The sequence below is a fragment of the Homo sapiens genome, chromosome 10 (assembly GCF_000001405.40).
Source record: "Homo sapiens chromosome 10, GRCh38.p14 Primary Assembly".
Classification (NCBI taxonomy): domain Eukaryota; kingdom Metazoa; phylum Chordata; class Mammalia; order Primates; family Hominidae; genus Homo; species Homo sapiens.
In genome coordinates this window covers 18,239,439-18,262,413 of record NC_000010.11, presented here as the reverse complement: position 1 = coordinate 18,262,413, position 22,975 = coordinate 18,239,439, and the positions used below count along the sequence as shown (strand labels likewise).

Sequence of the window (22,975 nt, the reverse complement as noted above, 5' to 3'; positions counted from 1 at the left end):
ATAAAAGGGGTTTTTCATGCTTTTACTTATTTAATAAAATTGAATACTCTCTTTAAGGTTTGACAGTATAGTTATCTCTCCCTGCCCTCCCACCCCACCCCGTCACCATTTCCAACTTTATTATTGAGATCATATCAGATTTTGACCTTGTTTGTCCTGTAAGTCTCACATATATCTCTTTTCTGTGGCCAATTTTCCAAGGTCACGGGTTTCTTTACCTTCAATACTTTAAGTATTGATTAGCTTGCTTTGTCAATTTTCTATTTGTTTTGCAGTCAGGAATGTCAAACCAGTGTTAAGCAATTCAGCACTGCAGTTTGCCCAGCCTGCATAAACCTCCTGTTCCCTTTTACAACCCTTCCTGAAAATAGAGTAGCTGCTCGCAAAAGGAGTATGAAAATCAAGCCAGCGCTTGCTCGGAGCTGGTCGGCTAGTGTAAGGCACAGCATATTGCAATTAGCATCCAATCATGTTAAGTAGTGATACACTTCAATATTTGTGTGAGCCTGCCTTGTAGAATTTAATACTCAGACAGCCATTTTGCAAAACACAGCAGGGCCATGAAATAAGGGCTATTTCAGTGAAAGAGTCACAGGATGATAAAGCTGTTGCAACAGCTGTGTCATCCATCCAGTGATTATTATCTACTATTTTTCTGAAGCTGCTCAAAATAGGATTTAGTGTTAGCCTCTGCGCCTATCTATAATTTGTCAAACTCCGTGGTATTTCTTCCCCCCACCATCCCATCATTCAAATATGAAAACAGGACTACTCTAGGTAAAAGAGAGTATCAACTGGTTTGAATGAGGCAGATCTCTGAGACAATGGACTTCTCAAACCAATCCCCGCGCAAGTTATTTCCAACCTTATCAAAGTCACAAGGCACAAAAGACAGATAAAAACATCTCTGGGAAAAAATAAATATCTCAGAATCTCCTATACCTCAGATTCCTTGAAAACTCATGGTACGAAATGATCGACTGTCTGGTTGGTTCAGCACAGGGAATAAAAACAGCTGAAAGAGGCAACATGCACCAGACAGACACGAATAGTATTTTCAGCTCCCAGCTGCAATTCTACAGCAATAGAAACTTACATAGGACACCCGTACTCGCCGGCGATGCACCAGCCCGCAGCACTGCATGAAGAGGGGGCAGAACGCAGTCAGCGTGTGGCTTCACCAAGCTGCACTGTGCCTTGTCTTCTCGTCACAGCCTCGGTCCATTTCTTCCCACCTTCTACTCCCAGGTAAGAGGCATGAGCAAATCACTTAGCTTCTGCCTCCTAGGTAGTTTCTAAAAAAGCCACCGTTCCTGCAGGCATGCCAAAACTTTGTTCTCCCCTGTTTGTCTTTTTTTGGGGGTGGGGGGCGTAATTTGAGATCTTCTTCAAGGGGGTTTCCTATTTGCAAAAATCTACAAGAAGTAGCATTAATTTTCCGGAAGTAAGTATTGCTAACACAGAGTTAGGACTGTCCAGATCGTCAGAGTTTCTTGGTGACGCTTTTACAGTAGCCATTCTCAACTCGGGAGATTTTCAAACATCTGAGTGTCTTGCATTTCGCGACCCTGCAGTACTCTGCTTTTGAAAAGCAGGAGGCCTACTCCTGCTGCTGTTTATGTGACTGCTTCTTAGCACGCTGCTGTTCCTGCTCCCGCGGCTGCTCGCCTATGATTGCCTTCTTCACAATGCACAGGCTGACAGCAGCATCCTGGATTCACTGTTACCTCTGTAACGTTTTGGGCATATCTGATTTGCTACTTCTCCCTCCTCCCCTGACCCTGAAAAATGACTGAGTCTAGACTCGAATTCACTGTGGATTCCTAGGACTACAGAAACATCCTCCAAACCGTCAGATGCTTTGTCCTGCAGTAGGTATTTCACATGAATTGTAAGGAGGATCGCCAGAGTGGCCTCAGGACCTGACTCGCTCAAGCACTGCGGCGCACAGTTGTTTGGTGCTCGCTGGCAAATGTTCATTTTCTGGGTTAAAGCATGTTAAATAAACATAACTCTGGAAGGCGAATTTGATCCGACTCAGACCTCATTAATTCATTAGATCTCATACCACCTATGATTTAGATATAATAAACTACATAAGGCTGCCTTCCAAGTGTGAGAGCTCCCAAGTCAATATTCTTTGTAAGCTATTATTTAGATCTTTCCCTAAAGACCCAGTTTTCAGGGACTGAGCTGATCCTAATATTCTCCCTAAAGACCATGTAAATGTCACACCTAAAAAGATGAATCATTAAGACATGTGGAGATTCAGCTGTTCATTGGTATGATATCAGCCATTCTAATACGCAATATCTTTAGTGTGTCACAGATATTGATCCAAATTTGCACCCATGCCCAAGTCATTCCATATTCTGTTGAGACCTAAGAAGGTATGTTAATGATTTCATGTCACAGATTAACCACCACTACATCCTTTAGGCTCCTGGAAAAATAAAAGACAATTAATTCTCAACACTTTACCAGTATTTTCTCAAGGCTTTTTTGAGATAGGGTCTTACTCTACTGCCCAAGCTGAAGTGCAGTGGTGCAATCATGGCTCACTGCAGCCTTGAACTCTTGATTGCCTTGCTCAGGCAGTCCTCCCACCTCCGACTCCCAAGTAGCTAGAATTGTAGGTGCATGCCACCACACCTGCTTAATTTTTTTTTTTTTTTTTTTTTCTGAGACAGAGTCTCACTCTGTCACCCAGACTGGAGTGCAGTGGCACAACCTCAGCTCACTGCAACCTCCACCTCCAGGGCTCAAGCAATTCTCCTGCCTCAGACTCCTGAGTAGCTGGGACTACAGGTGTGCACCACCATGCCTGGCTACTTTTACTTTTTTTTTTTGTTTGTTTTTTGTTTTTTTTTCAGTAGAGATGGAGTTTCACCATGTTGGCCAGGCTGGTCTTGAACTCTTGGACTCAAGTGATCTGCCAAGCTTGGCCTCCCAAAGTGTTGAGATTACAGGTGTAAGCCACAGTGCCCAGCCTAATTTTAAAAATTTTTTTATAGAGACAGGGGTCTCACTTTGTTGCCCAGGCTGGTCTCAAACTCCTGGCTCCAGGCCATTCTCCTGCCCCAGCCTCCCAAAGTGCTAGGATTACAAGTGTGAGTCACCATGCCTGGCCTTTAAAGTCTATGATTTAAAGCAACACTTTTATATTATTATTAATAGTCTAAGAGGTTGATAGAGGTGACAAAAAAATTCTGCCTTAATCTCCTTATTTAACTGACAAACTGGGTCCCAAAATGATTCCATGTTTTGTTTATCAGTAATATAAGCAATAGCATAATTTAAACTCTGAAACTTATATAATCTACATAGTCTGTGAAAATTCTATGGTCCTATCATATACTAGTTAAACCTTTGTGGATTTGAAGGTCCAAAAGGAAAATAACATAGTCTATAGACAGAAAATAAGGACACTTTAGTGATTAAATCAGAAACCTAGAGTAAAACAAAATTTCTGAATTACACTGTAAATTGGCTCTTGAAGTACATCCTGGAAAAAAAAAAAAATCCCTCACCATTTTCTGAACCATACATGATATATTCCAAGTAGGTAGGACTTCAATTTGATTTTTTAAAGAAACTTCAGTGAGAGGAACACTAAGTAATATAAAAGAACACATAATTCAAATTCAAGTTTTTTTTTGTTTTTTGTTTGCTTGTTTGTTTGTTTTTGACACAGAGTTTCGCTCTTGTCACCCAGGCTCGAGTGCAGTGGCATGATCTCAGCTCACTGCAACCTCCACCTCCTGGGTTCAAGTGATTCTCCTTCCTCAGGCTCCTGAGTAGCTGGGATTACAGGTGCCCGCTACCAGCCTGGCTAAATTTTTGTATTTTTAGTAGAGATGGGGTTTCACCACGGTAGGAAGTCTGGTCTTAAACTCCAGTCCTCGTGATCCGCCCGCCTCGGCCTCCCAAAGTGCTGGGATTACAGGCGTGAGCCACCGTGCCCGGCCTCAAGTTTTTTCTTAAGGCCCCTTCATCACCTCTATCACCACATTTTTACTAGAATAACTGAATAAAGAATAAAAATTTAGCTTAAAGTTAGAATAAGATGAAAACACTGGGGAAATGATCTATCCCCTCTATGATTCTGAATTTGATTTGGAATTCACTTAACATTTTATTAACTATGATATTTTTATACACAATATGAGAGAGATTCCCCCATTCATTAGATATTCCACCCACCTTGTCATTCAAGAATCCACAAAAGGATTCCAAGCACTAACTAATTTGATTCGGCAAACATTTATAGAGCACCTTCTGTTTGCTCAGTGCTGTGCTAAGGTGCTGGGGATATGAAATGAATAAAATACAATCCATGTATTCCTCTAGGCACGTATAAGAACTGAGGAGGCTGGGCGGGGTGGCTCACGCCTATAATCCCAGCACTTTGGGAGGCCCAGGTGGGCAGATCACCTGAGGTCAGAAGTTTGAGACCAGCCTGACCAACATGACGAAACCTCGTCTCTACTAAAAATACAAAAATCTGCTGGGCAGGGTGGCACATGTCTGTAATCCCAGCTACTCGGGAGGCTGAGGAAGGAGAATTGCTTGAACCTGAGAGGCAGAGGTTGCAGTGAGCCGAGATCATGCCACTGCACTCCAGCCTGGGTGACAGACGGAAACTCCATCTCAAAAAACAGAGGAAAGAGAACACAGTGTTTCAGAGCAATGGGAACGCCAAGGGAACAACTCCTAACCATCCCTGGAAGGAAAAATAGAGCCTTCACAAAGATGAGGACACTTGGGCTGGCCTTGCAGAATGGACGGAATTGCATTCAGTGGAAAGTGCGAGGGAGAAAGGATCCCAGGCAATGGGCAGAAGATGCAAAAGCACAGAAGGTTACATACAGAACATACACAGAACAAATTGTGTTTCTATAGTGTATACGAAGAAGGGTATCTTCAGACAACAGGGATCTACCCCAAGTCCTCATTCTAAACTCAGTTCTCCACCAGATTCAGTCTTTACTTATCTCTATATCCCTAGCACTTAGCACAGTGACTGAAACATAGTAGGTATCACAAAGATTCATAGTTGTCCCCTCCTGATCCATTCTTTACTTCATTTACAGTAATAGAGACAGACATCGGCTGCTGGGCTAAGATGAATGTCCCAGCTTCTCCTGCAACTTGGATGGCCACGGGACTAGATTCTGGTCAATGGGCAGATGTAGAAATGGTATGTGCCAATACCCAAGTCATGTGTCACTGCTGAGAGCTGGGACAGCCATTTATAATGAGAAGAAAGCTGCACATTCAGGAGAAGAGAGCGACAAGACAGACCCAAGTCCCTAGGACAGGGGAGCTGCCATATTGGCCCAATAGTGTTTACGTTTGGACTACACCAAGAAAGAGACATTAACTCCTATATTGGCACTTTTGCTCTGATTCCAATTATAGATGCTAAACTTGTACTATTATTACTATTGTTATTATTATTAATTTTTGAGACAGGGTCTGTGTCTGTTACCCAGGCTGGAGTGCAGTGGTGCAGTCTCAGCTCACTATAGCCTCAACCTCCTAGGCTCACAGTGATCCTCCCACCTCAGCCTCCCAAGTAGTAGTTGGGACTACAGGTATGTGCCAACATGCGCAGCTAATTTTTGTATTTTTTTGTAGAGATGGGGTTTTGCCATGTTTCCCAGGCTGGTCTTGAACTCCTGAGCTCGTGCAATCTACCCACCTTGGCCTCTCAAAGTGCTGGGATTAGAGGCCTGAGCCACCATGCCCGGCCTAAACATGGATTTTAAAAGCACCTCAAAGTGTTTCTGGAATGAATGATGAATTCACAGATCCAAGCCTGTGGAGGAGGCGGGGGAGTGGAAGAGGGAAAAAAGAAAAGGCAAGAATGGAGACGAGAATCAGGAACTCAGGCTGGGACTACCTGGGTCCCAGCAAAAGAGTTTAGACACAGCAAAGAGTTTAGAATTGAACTGGCAGTACATGCAGAATTACTGAAACTTTTAAATGTGAAAATATCTGTTGTTTTATTAAGAAGTAGAAAAAAAATTCCAGACTGTTGAGTCTAAAAATAACCTGGTCAATAGTTCAACTTCAGCAAGAAATTGAAAGCTTTTGAGCTTGTATACTTGTCTGTGATAACTGTTCATTTACTAAATAATCAAATAAAGTCAACAAAAACTAGCTGCTTGGCTCATGTAGCTAAATTACAAACCTAATGAATTGCTAAATTAGCTATTTTGTTATAATACGAGATATCTTAAAAGCAAAATATTGAAAAGCGTTAAGAAGAGGCTCAATGACAAAAATCAACAAATTAAAAGTAATCAAAGGTAAATGTAGATAATATCGATGGAAGATATATGTTTTTAAATCCAAGGGATTTATTCCTGGCCAGTCTTTTGAAAGTATGAGGATTAATGTTTCTTTACTATTCACTTTCTATGTTACTATTAGTTAGGAGTGGCAAGAACACAGTCAGAGTTAAACATCAGATGAAGTGCTTCCTTCAAGAAGAGAACTCTTTCATAATAAGAAATGAAAGACCTAAAGAAGCCTTCTGTAGCAGAACTGAAGGTTTTTTGTCAGAATTGACTCTGCTTAAGTGCTTCTGGCTTTTCTGTGGCTGCGATTTTAGGAAAGAAGGGTCCGTCTTCTGACAGACACCTGCTTAAATACTCATTAGACTCTCCCTTCACAGTACGTCTGCAACTATGAAGAGCCTAGGGTGCTTAAGTTGACCAAAAACTCTTGCTAATTTCAGTAAAAACAAAAAAAGGACCAACTGTCTCTATCCATCCATTCAGTCAACAATATCAACTGAGTGCTGCTCATCAAGTGCGTGTCTCTGCTGGGCACCAGTAGGAAAACGACAAGTAAAACAACCAATGTCCTTGCCTTCAAGGAGCTTAAAGTCCAGGGGGCAAGGCAATTTGAATCAAATAATCACATAAGCATAGAATTACAAGCTAATAAGATCTTTGCATGAATGTACAGAATACTATGAGAATGTAGAGGGGGTTGACATCTTCGAGAATTAGAAGGGTCAGAAAAGGTGTCTCTGGGGCACTGCTACCTGAGCTGAGGCTCAAGGGTGGGAAGGAGTTCACTAAAGGCAGGGAGAGGGAAGCTCTACGTGGTAGAAGGGAGAAGGCCCAGCTTAAGCAGTTGGAGAATAAAGTAAGAGAGGGAGGAGAAGATGAGGTTAGAGAGGCAGGTGATTATCAGGCAAGATCATGAGGGCCACGCTGGGGATCTTTTCTCTTTCTACTAAGAGCAGTGGGATTTCTTTCCCACAAGAGGCATGATCAGATTTGTGCCATTTAAAATCCACTTTGGCAGGACAGTTGAAGACAGATTGGAAGACGGCTAGAGAGAAGCCAGGGAGATCAGCTAGGAAGTACTTTTACCCAAGCAAAAGATGATGCTCTCATGCTAAGGAGCTGAAGATGGGAGATAAGGAAAATGAATGAATCTATTAGATATTGGGGAATTCAAGTAGGTAAGTGCAAGGACAGAAACAGAAAATGAAACCCAATGTAATACATACACGTTCCCGTGTTCTCTCATTCCTGAACATTTCCATGCATTTCTGAAGTTCAGTCTTCAGTAATCCGATCTGTGATAAACCTTTGTTTTCATGTCAGTGCCAGTGTACTTCTATTTCTTGGTCCAGTCCTCATTTCTCTCCTTAGGGTCCTGAACAAAATCTCTATCTGGCTGCTTGCAGCTTCCACTGAACTCCACTTCTTTAGCCACCAAAATGCACACTCTATTTCATTCCAGCTTCTACAGAACTGAAAACCTTTCTCTAATTTTCCTTTATTTCTCACCAAAGTGTCTGGGTTGTCTTTTGATGTACGGGATTTTTTTTGGTTTTTGTTTTGTTTTTCAGACCAACAATCAATCATTTTTTTTTCTCAGTAATGAGAGTGGCAACATTTGTTTATTTACCACCTAGACGCAGATAGCAGGAGAAGTAAATAAGATAACTAAAAGCAATGAAATTAGGGAAAAAGTCATACTTTTGAAATTACTAATAATCATGGAATGCACACTAAACCTCAATGATAAATTTAAAACATATTTTGTGTTATTGAGGTAGACTACACTTGCTACATTCAAGATTGTGAGAACAAGATTGTGTAACCCTAATAAATCCCAGTTCTCTGATAGCCCAGTCATACTTAAAGGAATACAATGTAGCAACAAAAACTTGAAAATCAAATGCCAATTTTTAATTGCGTAGCTCAAAGAATGTAACACAGGATCCTATAATCCACACAGCAACACTTCTCAAACATCCTTTTTCCTTTCCTCCCTGATTCTCTCATAACCAAAGCCATTTGAGGACCTATGCTTTCTAGCACAAACAAAAACATCAAAAATGGACTCTCCCACGTACAGAGTTCCTGACTCTCTCTTCCTCAACCTATATCCCTCAGCTTCGTATGATGTAAATTTGCTTAGTTTCTGGGCTTTTAAAAATTTTCTTTACATTTGCCCTATTGTACCCATCATTCAGATTCTAAACAAGAAGAGCCAGGAAACAAAAACCTGATTCCTTTTATTTTGTATCTTCAGCCAATTGTCTTCGCGCCCAAACTTCAGATTTCATGCTCCAGAGTCGGGGGCAATGATAGAACATTATTACATGGGGATGGAAGGAGAAGCACTGAGTAGAGAAAAGTAAAATTCTCTTTATTACAGGGAGTGGAGGAAGTGAGAAAGGAGAGGGGAAAAGGCGAGGCATATTCATGTCTTAAATTTTCCACACTCTCAGAGAATCCATTTGACCAGTTCATTTCATTCATTGTAGATCTAAGAAAATGCAACATGTATATAAGAAAGAAAATGGTAGCTTTTTGGTGGCAAAAGACAAGAAAGGCTATTCATAGTGTAACATTTCATGAACAAATCTAGGATGATAACAGGATAAAATATTTCCCAGCAGCAATTTTGATTTCCTCTTTGTTTGGAAAGACCACGAAAGAGAAACATACCATTTCTCTGAAGTTGCCATAAAATACTCCTGATAGATTTTAGAATTCTATGATGTATCTAATGAACTGCATATATTTTTATTAAAATTCATACTTGTCATAAATATTGCTATGTACTCAGCCCCACCAGTATCTGACTTACCTTACTATGCAATTCATTTAAAAAATGGACTGTTTGCAACTTTTTAAAAACCCAGGGACTCAAGCGAAGAGGTACAAAGAGTTTCACTGACTCCTGCTAAGTTCCAGTCACTATTCTAAACACGTCACTAGCTCATCCTCTGATTCTCATGACAACTCCATGAGCCCTTCATCTCCATTTCATATACGAAGTGATTGAGGCACTGTGAAGTCAAGTAAGTTGCTCAAGGCAATGGCAGAGTTAGAACTTCTATCCAGATGTTTGACTCCTGAGCCCATGGCTTTAAACCTCTTCCTACCTTCTCTTTGAAAGGTGAAAATTAATTTTATAAGCTGACCTTGGAGGATCACATAATGGTTAATTAACCAATCCAGTCATACAACAGGCACTTTTCCACCCGAGCCATCATCTGCCTACCTGCCTACCTTTCAGAGGTTCCCCTTCCAGCAGTTTCCCAAATCACCTTTCTGCAAAAACATTCCCACCTTATACTTTTTCCTTGCGCTTTCTTGCAAAGTCTGAAATTTTACCAATTGGAAAATTCATTTTATGCCACAAGTATCTTCTTATAAAAATTAAACCTCTCTTAAATATAAGCACTATGACAAATTATTTAAAACCATATTTCATCTACCTACAGCTATGTATCTATCTATTCCTCACCTTGTTTCAGAAATAATTTAAGGCAATTTACAAGGATAAATTTTAAAAGGACACTTAAATAACATAAAAGAGGGATTAAAAGAAAAAAAGCAAAGCAAAGATGGCAATACAAAATGCAGAAACAAGGCTCGAAATGCATCCCATAATAATGGAAGTACTTCTTACTATGAGCCATAGATCTGGCTGTAAGCTTTCGAGCAGCCAACTCAAAAAGTGAAACTCGGTCGGTTATGTAATTTACCATCCATAAGCTTAAAATAAACCAAATGCTCAAAAGAACGACTCTGTTTGGCACTAACACCAGACACCGATTTCTCCTGGAGGCCCCATAAAAAGGAACATTGTGTAAACTTATGAACAGCATTCCTTCCGGTAAATGCCCCAGTGGGTTCTGAAAAGCTGCTTCTTAGACTGACGGTCAGGGGAAGCTAAAGGTTTCCCACCATAGCAACATTCAGTAAAATAATCTGGGCAGAGAGAAAGGACAATAGGTTAGATAAGATAATTAACTCCTTATAGATTTGGCTTGACCCAAGAATAGTAATAAAAACAATGACAAAAAACATTAGCATTTATTTACTGATACAGGCACCCAGTGAGCATTATTCCTTTAATCCTCATATCAATTATGAAGAAGACTATTACTCTTTATCCCTGGGTGATATGGTTTGGCTCTGTGTCCCCACTCAAGTCTCATGTTGAATTGTAACACCCAGTGTTGGGGGAGGGACTTGGTGGGAGGTGACTGGATCATGGGGGCAGATTTCCCCCTTGCTGTTTCTTGTGATAGTGAGTTCTCACGAGATCTGATGGTTTAAAAGCATGTAGCACTTCCCTCTTCGCGCTCTCTGTCCCCTTTTCCACCATGGTAAGATGTGGTTGCTTCCCCTTCACCTGTCTGCCATGATTATAAGTTTTCTGATGGCTTCTCAGCCATGCCTCCTGTATAGCCTGTGGAACTGAGTCAATTAAACCTCTTTTCTTCATAAGTTACCCAGTCTCAGGTAGTTCTTTAGAGCAGTGTGAGAACGGACTAATACAGTGGGTTACAAATGAGGAAACAGACTTAAGAGTTGAGGCCGGGCATGGTGGCCCACGCCTGTAATCTCAGCACTTTGGGAGGCCGAGGTGGGTGGATCACCTGGGGTCAGGAGTTCAAGACCAGCCTGGCCAACATGGTGAAACCCCATCTCTACTAAAAATACAAAAATTGGCTGGGCGTTGTGGCAGGCGTGTGTGACCTCAGCTACTCAGGAGGAGGCTGAGGCAGGAGAATCACTTGAACCCAGGAGGTGGAGGTTGCAGTGAGCTGAGATCATGCCATCACATTCCAGCCTGGGCGACAGAGTGAAACTCCATCTCAAAAAAAGAAAAAAAAAAAGAGCCGAGAGACTTGCTTAAGGCTACAAAATTCATATGCAGCAGAAATAGGATTTGAACCCAGATTTGCTGAACTGTAAAAATCTAGCTCCCAACCGGAGTTTTAGACACTGAATGAATTCTGTGTCTATTAAACAATCCCACTGAGTGTTGTTTCTCATCAATGAGCTTCAGATAAATATTTGAGGGCAATGACCTTAAGACTACTCAACACAGATGCATATCATTTACCAACAAAGCTGGAAGTAATAAAAGATGAAGACACTTAAGGGAAGGCCATCCACCTCAGCTTGCAGCTGTAGTTAAAGCAAACGGCTTTTCCTCCCAACACCTAACTACCAATGAGAAGTTCCAGAGACTGGGGAGAAGATGATGTAGGTAGCTTTGGTGCATGGACACTTCAGGAGTAAGAGCAGACCTGGGAGGGAGTTGGAGCATAAACCTGCACAGTATTGGATAACTGGATGAGGGCTTAAGAAAGTAGAGATGGGGAAACGGAAATGGAGGAAGCCAAAGATGGATCTTGTTTCATTCAAAATCAGTTTGCGATGGTCTTGATTCTACCACTAGGCTGTACAGTGGTCGTAAGTATCTAGATATCCTAAATCTTAAATATTTAATTTTCCAAAAATAAAAGACATTCGTCCATAGTCATTGCTAGCTTAGGCACCCTCTACATTTAGAATGGACAACTTTCAAAAAAAAAAAAAAGAGAGAGATAAAATTGACAATAGGCAGACCTCCTTGACCTCTTAGAAAGATGAGTTTTGAGCAGAACAAAGTGAATAAAGTGAAGGAGTCAGACAACATGGCAGAAGAAAAGTCCAGGCAAATGCCCTGAGGCAGGAACACACTTTGCCCACAGAAAGGACAGTAAGAAGTTGCCTATGGATGAAGCCCGTTGAGTGGCCAGATCATATAGGTTCACAAAGTTACAACAAGGACTGCATTTTCTTCTAATTGGGAGGAAAGCCACTGGAGGACTTTGAAAAGGACACCTAGCTTGATTTATATCTCAGAAGTAGTATTCTGCCTGCTGTGTGGAGACTGCCAAGAGCTAATGAGGAAACACAGAGATGAGTTTTTAGACTATTGCAATAGTTCAGATAAGAGAGAAGGGCTTGGTCTAAAGTGTTCGTGCGAGGACACCTTGAGAAGTGGTAGGATTCTGGATATATTTTGAAGTCCAGTGTGACAGAATTGACCTATAGATTGATGTCTTATTGGAGAGAAAGAATCCAAGAATGAGTCCAGTTGGAAGCTGGAAGGGGGGAGATGGGGCTGAGCAACCATTCACATGATTGCTCCATTTCCTGAGAAGAAAAATATTTAGGGAGGAGCAGGATCAGAGGAGAAAACAAAAAATACTTTTGCAGGGATATTAATTTTGAGACGTCTGTAGGACATCGATGTGGAGCAGTCAGGTAGGCAATTTCATATATAATCCCAGGGTCCAGAAGGGAGGTGTGAGTAGAGAAATAAACTAGGAAGGTGGCATATAGATGGTCTTGAGAACCACAAGCTTTTGTGAAATTCCCTTGAGAAATTTCCCAAGAAAGAGGAGCTGAAAACTGATTCCTGGAGCATCTCGCCCATTAGAGGTGAGGTCAAGTAAGATGAAGACTGAGAACTGACCATCAGATCTGGTCAGGTAGAGGCCACTGATGATAGCATCTCAAGTGAAGTCATTGGGGGGACAGAGTCAAGAGTCTGAAATGAGTTCAATAAAGAGAGCGAGGTGAACAATTTGATACAGTGGGTGGACACACATTTTTCAAGGAGATTTTCTTAAGCAGAGAGTAGAAAAATGAAAACAAAGCTGCAAAGAGATGCAGGAATAAGACATTTTTTTTTCTTGGAATAGGAGGTATTACAGGTAAGAAAGGAAAAACAAAAGACACTTCAACAGAGATCACAGATAATTGTAGGAGCAAAGTCCTTGGTTGGGCCAAGGGGCTGGAACCCCATGCATAAGCAGAGTGGTTGGCTCAGATAGACTCTTAGTTGGTTCACCCACTGTCGCAGGAAGGAAGCAGAAGATTTGGGTACCAGTGGGTGGATTTAATGGTAGCAGTAGTGGGAAGGTCTTTTTAGAGAGTTGCTATTTTCTCAGATGAAATTAGGAGAAAGATCATTAACCGAGAATGAGGAGATGGGAGAAACTGTTGCAGATTTAAGTACAAGGAAGGTGTGAAAGAGACCTCTCAGGAGTAGGTGAGTGGACTGGCCAGGAAAACAGAATCAACAGGTAGAATTGAGTGCAGGTGGATATTTGTGGTCATGAACTTCCAGTAAAACAGTGCCCAGAGTGGTCTTTTTCCCCCACTATGTGTGTCTGCTGAAATTCAAGGGCAGAGTGAATGAGAGTCAGGTTTAGGCTGATGTCACATTTCCCAGGAAAATAAGACAGAGGGAGAGAGGAACAGAGAGTTGAGAAAGTCTGTCTCCATCACGGGAACTCAGATAAGGAAGGAAATGAGGATCTGAGGAGAGGAGGTGATGGGCTATCAAACGATGTTGGTTACAAAGATATAAAATTACAGGACAGAACAAGAGGAAGACTTCTCAGAGAGTGATATTGGATATGTCCAATGAGATCATAGACATTCTCTTTTAAGATATGTTTAAAAGAAGCTCACTTCTCCTAATATTGAATTAGCTATGAGCTACATAGTGACAAAGAAATGAATGAGGAAAATCTCAATTTTTCTTTTCCTATTGGATTTAGTTGAGAACACTATAAGAATGACAGATACAACAGAAAAAGTTCTTCTCAAATTTAAGATCAGAAATAGTAGAACTTGGGGAGATTCATATGATTTATGACAAAATACTTCAAAAAATGTATTTGCCCAATTACTTTTTAATTATTAGACCACAGAAGTATTCCATTATTCTTACTTATGAATCAGACACTCACCAAAGGTAAATTAATTGAAATACGAATTTTTAATTTTTGAAAGATCCAACTCATTATGTTTGACACAAGCAGTATGTTCTCTACTTCCTCATAAAGAACAGTTCATTTGGGTCCTAACATCAGCTCAATTAGCTTGGAAAAGTGGGGCTTTTCTACTGAATTTGAAGGCTAAAGTTTGTGGATTTCAATTTCTCTTTTCTAGTTTGGTAGGTACTGTGGTCTGAATCTTTGCATTTCCCTCAAAATTCATATGTTGCAACCTAATCACCAATGTGATGGAATTAGGAGAGGCCTTTGGGAGGTGATTAGGTCATGATTGGGATTAAGCACCATTATCAAAGAGGTCCCAGAGAGATCCACTGCCCCTTCCACCATATTAGAACACAGTAAGAAGGTACCATTTATGAAACAGGGGAAGCTGTGTGTTACTGTAACATCATCAGAGGTACTCTATGTCATATGCATTAGCATTCAGAATGAAATCATGGTTTCCTTTACCCCAGAAAAGGTGGTCCTCACAGATACTATGAAGGTAATGGAGTAAAAGATCTAAAATTTATGGAAACTCAGAGGGGGAGAGTTTGTCACCAGACACCAAATCTGCCTCAACCTTCGACTTCCCAGCTTCAGAACTGTGAGAAATAAATGCATTTTTGATAAGCCACCCAATTGATGCTATTTCATTACAGCAGCCTGAATGGACTTAGACAAAGTTATTTTGCAAAGTACCTACAGATGTGCCTAAAATCACAGTATGATTTTTTTTTTAAGAGATGATGGAAAGAATATAATCATTTGGGATATTTGGCAACCCTGACAATCTTCCTATATCCAGCCGGCACTTCATACCCCCTACTGGGCAACTCTAAAGAAAACTAACACATTGACTATTCTGTCTCTTGGTTCTATTTTGGCTTATGATGAAGCGGAGAAGTAAAAATATGTTTGAATGGTCCTTTATTGGGAATTGGTGTTAGTTGGACAAGAAGAAGATCCTGAGGGATTTGGGGACTGATCAAGGAAAAAGATACGATGTCTAGGAGGTGGCTAAAGCACACACAGCTTTACTGGGTAATTATGACAACTCTGCATGGGAGGAAGCCCCTCACAGCAGGATTCTGTGCAGAGGCTATGGCACACAGAGGTTGCTACTTAGAAGGGGAGAAGGGCCAGGGAATTCCCAGGAGAGGAGATAGCAGACGGGTCTCACGTGTCGAGGTGATGTCATTCAGCAGTAGGGTGGCAGTCTCTGGGTCAGAGAGCTCTGAAGGCCCCAGCAGATTATGCCTTACAACTGCGAGGCTGCATCTTACCTACGGTCAGCAGGTGGAAATGAGGTTTCACGGGGTATGCAAGGCAGGCAAAAGGGCTTAAAAAACTACTTATTCGGGCTAGGTTTAAAACAACTGGATGGGCTGGGTCTGGTGGCTCATGCCTGTAATTCCAGCACTCAGTGAGGTCAAAGTTGAAAGACTGCCTGAGGCCAGGAGTTCGAGAACAGCCTGGGCAAAATAGTGAAACCCTGTCTCTACAAAACAAACAAACAAACAAAAAACAAAACTAAAAAACCCTGAAAATTAGCCGGGCCTGGTGGTGCATGCCTGTATTCCCAGCTACTCAGGAGGCTGAGGCGGGAGGATCACTTGAGCCCAGGAGTTGGAGGCTGTAGTAAGCCATGATCGCACCACTGCACTCCAGCCTGTATGACAGAGTGAGACCCTGACTGTAAACACAAACAAATAAATAAATAACAGCTGGGTGTGTAAACATTTGAGATTGGTACCATTAGGCTTCTGAGATAATGCATTTCAACCCCCATTGAAGAAATAAACAACCTGGGGACCAATACACAGAGCCTATCTTTACCTCATTTATGTAACAGAGGAAGTAGAGAAGACATTGTAAAAATGTTTTTTTTTAAAAGAAAGAGAGAACTAGGAGCCTTATCCTCCTCTCAAAATTTGGAAGTTCCCTAAGGTTATAATATTATTAATATAATACTAGTTAAACATTTATAGAGTGCTTGTTATGTGCTGAGCACTTCACATTTAATTATTGTAACCATCCTTCAAGATAATATTTTTGTACCAATTTAGCACACAGGAAAGCTGAGCCTAGAGGTTCCTAACTGGCGTAAGCTCTCAGAGCCAGGGGAAGGGTAGTGGGCTTCAATTCTAGGCAGTCTGAATAGAGAATTGGTGTGTTTAACCCAGTAGACACACAGTCTTTCATCTGAGGTTTCTTCCTCTCGGAGATCAAGAGGGTCACTGCACCTTTTGACCTGGAGCTGTTCTCCGGGTTCCAGGAGTAGAAGAGCCAACAGAATCCTTTCTGACCATTTATTTCCAGTGCTTCAGTGCTATTTCTTCACTCCTTCCCCAGCACCTACCCACTGATGCCCATCGATTGCTTCCCAACTCCTGATTAATATAAGCACTATGCACATTTAAAAGCAAGGTCAGATTAAAAATAAATGAAAGGTCTTGTACAGATAGGAACACTTCCCACCCCATACCTTCACCTACCCAGGACTCTGAATCTCTGATTACTAGACTATACCTTGCTGGAGAGGAGAATGACTAGTGACTGCTGACCTTCTCGTGTCTTGGTGGAGCAGAGGTAATCACGTGGCTAACTCAAAAGGCCAAACACATTTTGTGATGCTGTTGGCAAAAATAAAAATGAACAGGAGGAGACCAGGTGTGACGGCTCCTGCCTGTAATTCCAACACTTTGGGAAGCTGAGGCAGGAGAATAGCTTGAGCCCAGGAGTTTAAGACCAGCTGTGGGAAACATAGTGAGACCCTATCTTCACAAAAAATATTAAAATAAATAAATTAGCCAGGTATGATGGTGCATGCCTGTAAGTCCCAGCCACTCAAGAGCCTGAGGTAGGAGGATCACTTGGGCCAGGGAAGGACAGAGGCTGCAGTGAGCTCTGATTACACCAGTACACTCCAGCCTGTGCAACGGAGTGAGACCCTGTCTCGAATAAGAACAAAAAAATGAACACAGGCAACAGTGCTGCAGGTTTCCTTACAGCAGTTCTACCTTAGTTCATCTGGACACACAAAAAAGACACATAGAAGACATTTCTACACACTGTGTGCCTGTATGTGTTTGCTATTGCTGCTTTAACAAATTACCATAAATACAGTGGCATAAAACAATACAAATGTATTATCTCACAGTTCTGCAGGCTGGGAGTCCGAAATGAGTCTTACTGGGGAAAAAAAAAAAATCCAAGGCTGTGTTCCTTCTGGAGCCTTCAGGGAAGAGTTTGTTTTCTTGCCTTTTCCATCTGTTAGCGGCTGCTGTATTCCTTGGCTCATGGCCCCTCCACAACTTCAAAGACAGCAACTGCAATTTCCTTCTGACCTCTGCACCTGTTGTCCTATCTCCCTCTCTGACTCCAACTTTCCTATCTGTCTCTTCTACTCAAAAGAACCCTTGTGATTACACTGTGCCCACCCAGCTAATCCAGGATAATCTTCCTAGCTCAAGATCTTTAACTTAATCACATCTGCAAAATTTTATTTGCCACATAAGGTAACATATTCATAGGTTCCATAGATTGGAACATGGACATCTTTGGGGGGCGATTACTCAGCCTACTCTAGTGCCCCACATCTGTGTGTGCTTGGTAGGGAGCCATCCTTCTCTAAGGATACTCCCCTATGGAGCCCTAACAACTCTCAAGTCTTCCTACATAAGGTTGACAAAAGAATTCAAAGAGCTGTCCAGAAATTTGAAATTAACAGATGAAATCAGAACTCTCCAACAAAATTGCTAGGTGTACTTAACAGAATTTCTGCCACAGGCAAGAATCAGTATTATGCTTCACCTGAATATGTGCATCAATTTTTTTATGAGAGACTGTTTTGCACGTTAGGAAAAGCCATATCCTTTAGGGATCCCCATAATCACTGACATATGGTAGTTGAGAAGCGGTTGATGATTCTAATTTTAGTTTTTAAATGATGTTTTTAAAGGTAGAATTTGATGTCTGAAATCCATTGCTAAATTCAATGATCTTACTCTATATGAATCTCAGCAAAGAAACCAGACATCTGTGGTTCCAGAATGAACTCTTTTTTTGATGGGGTTTTTAAAACTCTTGAAATCTCTTTTATCATGTAACAGAATTATAGCCAACATCATTGCAGTAAATATCAAAGACACTGCACTATGGAGAAGCAGGCCTGGCATCACCTGATTGATTGAGTGCTGTTAAATAAAAGCCAGCAACATCTTCCTTGCCACATTGCATTATTAGTTCTCCCCAGCAATGCAGCACTACAGTTAGTGGTAGCTCAGTTGCACGATGGAAGAAACAGGGTTCTAAGAGTAAAGAGACATAGCTAGGTTTCCAACTCAGCACTCTCAGATACCAAAGCTCTCGTTGTTCCCTGTCTTAGTCCATTTGCCATGGCTATAACTGAATACTTGAGGCTGGGTTATTTATAAAGAAAAGAGGTTTATTTGGCTCATGATTCTGGTGGTTGGAAAGTCCAAAATTGGGCAGCTGTATCTGGTGAGGGCCTCAGGCTGCTTCCACTCAGCAGCCGGAAGGGGATCAGGTGTGTGTAGAAATCATGTGCCAAGAGGAAAAGCAAGAGAGAGAAATTGAGGAGCCAGACTCTTCTTAACCATCCTGCTCTTGCAGGAACTAACCTATTCCCAAGACAGTGAGAACTCACTCATCCCCGAGGAAGGGCATTAATCTATTCATAAGAAATCTGTCCTCATGAACCAAACACCACCCACTAGGCCCCAGCTCCCAACGTTACCTCATTGGGAATCAAATTTCAACATGAGTTTTGGGAGGCACGAACTACATCCAAGCCACAGCACTCTTAAACTCTGCCATGTTGTCTTGAGTTGAGTCTCTTTCACCATTCTCCTTGTTTCCATAGTCGTGAGCATGATCCCTGTAAACAGCCAGGGTGACCCTACCCTTAAACACAAAATTCTCCAACTTACCTGGGCCTACCCAGGACTCCTATGAATCACCTTTATTTCCCCTTACCTTGAATAAATGTGTTAATGGGAACTTTGTATTTATTCTTGATCAAATTTAATACAACAGTATATCTAGAATGCTGTTAAAATTTAGGGACTTTGTGTATTACTAGTCCTGTAGATTCTAAAATAGTCTCTTTTAATATCTACCAGGATGTTTCATACATTTGTTTTATTAATTTTATTGAAAATATAACAATATTGACAACTTAGAAAGTATCAAATAAAATTTAGTCTTTATCTCAATATATGTTCAAGACTTTTTGCATGTTTTCTTTTTTTTGTTTTTTTTTTTTGAGACAGTCTTGCTCTGTCGCCCAGGCTGGAGTGCAGTGGCGCAATCTCGGCTCACTGCAAGCTCCGCCTCCCGGGTTCATGCCATTCTCCTGACTCAGCCTCCCGAATAGCTGGGACTACAGGTGCCCACCACCATGCCCGGCTAATGTTTTTTTGTTTTTTTGGTTTTTTTTTTTTTGCATTTTTAGTAGAGACGGGGTTTCACTGTGTTAGCCAGGATGGTCTCAATCTCCTGACCTCGTGATCCACCTGCCTCAGCCTCCCAAAGTGCTGGGATTACAGGCATGAGCCACTGCGCCCGGCCAACTTTTTGCATGTTTTCTTTAAAATTTCTCTACTTTTAATTGTACTTCTAATACAGACACTTCTGAAATCAGTTTTCACATTGCTGCAGCCTTACCAATTTGTAGAAACTGTTTATGTGATGTTTTGATTCTTCATTTATATATTTGCTTCAAATATTTTCCCAACATACCTTTTCAACTTATTTTCTTGTAATGCAGTTTACTATTTTAAAATAACAGTATGTGCTGCTTTGTGAATATTTTTATTACATCAAAACTAAGAAAGACCTTTCAACCTTTTCATCGTTCTAATAAATCAACACATTTATTCTAATTATGATTTGTTTTATATCCAACTCTCTACTCAAGTATATTCCATTTAACTCTCTAATTGGTTTTGACACAAGGTGTGGGCCTAATTCTTTAAGTACTTAACTAGTTATCCCAATGCAATTTTTATATTGTTTGTTAAATAATTTTTGCACTATTGTTTTATATTTTTATATATATTACATAAATTGAAAGCCAGTTGAGAGTTCAATTTATAATAGGACATTCATTTTCTTAAGTGTCTTATTGTGTGTATATATATATATACACACACACACACATGTATACATATATATACACACACATATATACATATATACATGCATTCTAAAAAATGTATCCTTCTCTTTTGTTACTTGACTATGTACTAGAATTTGAATATTGAAATAAATATAAAATTGGTGGTTGACTATATACGTAATTGAATAGTTATTGTTATTTGAATATTTTGTTTATTGTGACTTGAATATAACCAAGATGATCAATCCACTTACAATTCTTCTCTTTCAAAATATTACATGACGTAGAAGCTCATTTTAGCTGACACTTACTATTTGTACAAATATTCCAGAAGTCATTTCTCTGGCTTTTCAGCAGACTATAAAGATTAAAAGTTCAAAAAAAGGTCAGTAAATATAGATATAAATAAAAATAATTAAAATATAATCTAAATTGCCCAGGTTGACTTCAAAATCCTTTTAGTTTTTACATTTCTTTCCCCTTGTCTCATTTTTGTATTCATGGTTAATTTTTTACTTTTGTTTCCCATGTACCTCTTTATAGGTCACCTGTATGTATCTTTTTTTTTTAATATACTTCAAGTTCTGGGGTACATGTACATAACATGCAGGTTTCTTACATAGGTATACATATGCCATGGTGGTTTGCTGCACCCATCAACCCGTCATCTACATTAGGTATTTCTCCTAATGCTATCCCTCCCCTAGCCTCCCACCTCGTGACAGGCCCCAGTGTGTGATGTTCCCTCCCTGTAGGTCACCTGCATCTTTAATGGAACAAAGTCAAAAGCACAAAAGCAAGCACTTTTTCACCACTTAAATGTAGTCTCTTTAATGCATTTTATTTATTTATCTTTTTTCAGTCAATTTAAGAAGTTTATTTGGCCAAAGTTAAGGATGTGTGCCCATGACACAGCCTTAGGAGGTCCTGGTGACATGTGCCCAAGGTGGGGTCAGGGCACAGCTTGGTTTTACACATTTTAGGGAGACACAAGACATCAATCAATATATGTAAGATGAACACGAGTTTAGTCTGGAAAGGCAGGACAACTCAGAGACAAATGGTTGCATGTTTTTGAGTTTCTGATCAGCCTTTCCAAAGGAGGCAATCAGGTATGCATTTATCTCGCTGAGCAGAGGGATAACCGTGAACAGAACAGGAGGCAGGTTTGTCCTAAGTGGCATTGTAAAACTCATTATGGCAACATCTTCTGTGTTTTTCTTTTCACTGGGAAAAGATTACTCTGAGTAAGTGCCACGTGGGAAACAAGAGCGAGAGAGGGCAGAGTGGAGGCCACTGACCAATGCCATGGGCAGGCAGAGGGGGTGTTGGCTTTGAGTAGGCAGGCAGGATGGGGGAGAAAAGGGAAGGAGGCATCTGCTCAGGATTCTTAATGATGAGACCAAAGGACTGGGTGACAGACTGGTTCTGCATCCGAGGGAGAGGAAGGTCATCGAGAATGACTCTGAGGTTACTGGTTTGCGTAACCAGTTAGACAGAAATGGCTTTTGCTGAAACAGTAGAAATGTGCCAGGATATGGGGAGACAAGATCGCAAGTTTCAATTTTGGATGTGTTGAGTCTGAGGTGTTTTTGAGAAAACCAAGAGGAGATGTCAAGAAAGAAGTTGGATTTGTTCTTTCCCCAGCTAAAAGATTAATAGTGAGCGACCTGGTTACACGTTCCACTTTCTCAATATCTCCCTGCAGGCAAATTATAAAACTGTACAGTTGAGCCAGACTAGTTTTGAGTACGCCATCACATACCACGCTGCTTGGAACCGAATCCACAACCTGCATGAGACTTTAATCAAAGCTTTTGTCAAGTTTTATACAGGAAGAAAAGATGTTTAGCGATTTGAGTCACTCTGCGATTGTTTTGCAACATGTTATTTGGATTGTAGAATAATATTGTTCAAGAGAGAGTCCAAGTGGGATGGAACAAAATGTCAAGGAGAATGTGTTTTTAGGCATTTCTCTAATGTCAACAGAATACTCATAGTTTTTGTTATGCTAGTTCAAAGCGTGAACCATTTCTATTATTCCAGTTATTCAATATTTTTACAAAAATAGTACATAAGTTGCCATACTGAAGATTTTTAAAAAAGTTTTTAAATATGAAGCTACCCAAAAGTCATGTGAGATTGTTACAGCTGATAAGGCAGAGAGGCAGCTATCTGCCTTATCAGATATGAGAAGACATGAGAATCCAAAGTCATCAGTAAAGATCAGGTAATATACATATTCCTTGATATGTAATTCCAGGACTTGGATTTCACAAGCTCTTATTTGAAACAAATAAAAGCATTTAGTGCTTTATAATCTTTGGAGCTGGGGAGGGTGATCTAGAAACTATAAAGAAAATCTAGAAGAACTAAGATCCATGATTAACTGGTATTTAGAACACTTCTCTACTTTTAAAGTTGACTCAATTCTTCAAAACTTAATTAATATAATTGTACTCAACTGTCTATGAAACTTAGATAAGGTCTATTACATACAAAAGATACTTGCACTTGTATATTTATTGCAGCACTATTCACAATAGCAAAGATATGGAATCAACCTAAGTGTCCATCAATGTATGACTGGATAAACAAAATGTGTGGGGTGTATATATCTACTTACACATGCACACATATACGCACACCAGGGAATACTACCCAACCCTTAAAAAGAATGAAATCATGTCTCTTGCAGTGACATGGATGGAACT

The 22,975-nt window shown here is 40.5% G+C and overlaps 1 protein-coding gene and 1 long non-coding RNA gene across 10 annotated transcripts in view; one reads left to right on the top strand and one right to left on the bottom strand.

Moving 5' to 3' along the window:
• Positions 1-22,975, bottom strand: part of CACNB2 (calcium voltage-gated channel auxiliary subunit beta 2) — a 403,134-nt gene that overhangs the window by 281,144 nt on the left and 99,015 nt on the right. For 2 of the 9 annotated variants that reach the window (NM_000724.4, NM_001330060.2), the window contains exon 1: positions 1,097-1,692. The exons of the other annotated variants lie outside the window; for them this stretch is intronic. In NM_000724.4, coding sequence (NP_000715.2) covers positions 1,097-1,144 — 48 coding nt within the window. In that variant the 5' untranslated portion in view covers positions 1,145-1,692. Of the gene's footprint in view, positions 1-1,096; positions 1,693-22,975 lie in introns of those variants that run through there. 9 annotated transcript variants of the gene reach the window in all.
• On the top strand, positions 910-6,165 carry CACNB2-AS2 (CACNB2 antisense RNA 2). Its single transcript, XR_001747681.2, has 2 exons — positions 910-1,248; positions 5,094-6,165. It is a non-coding gene; the product is annotated as a CACNB2 antisense RNA 2 (long non-coding RNA).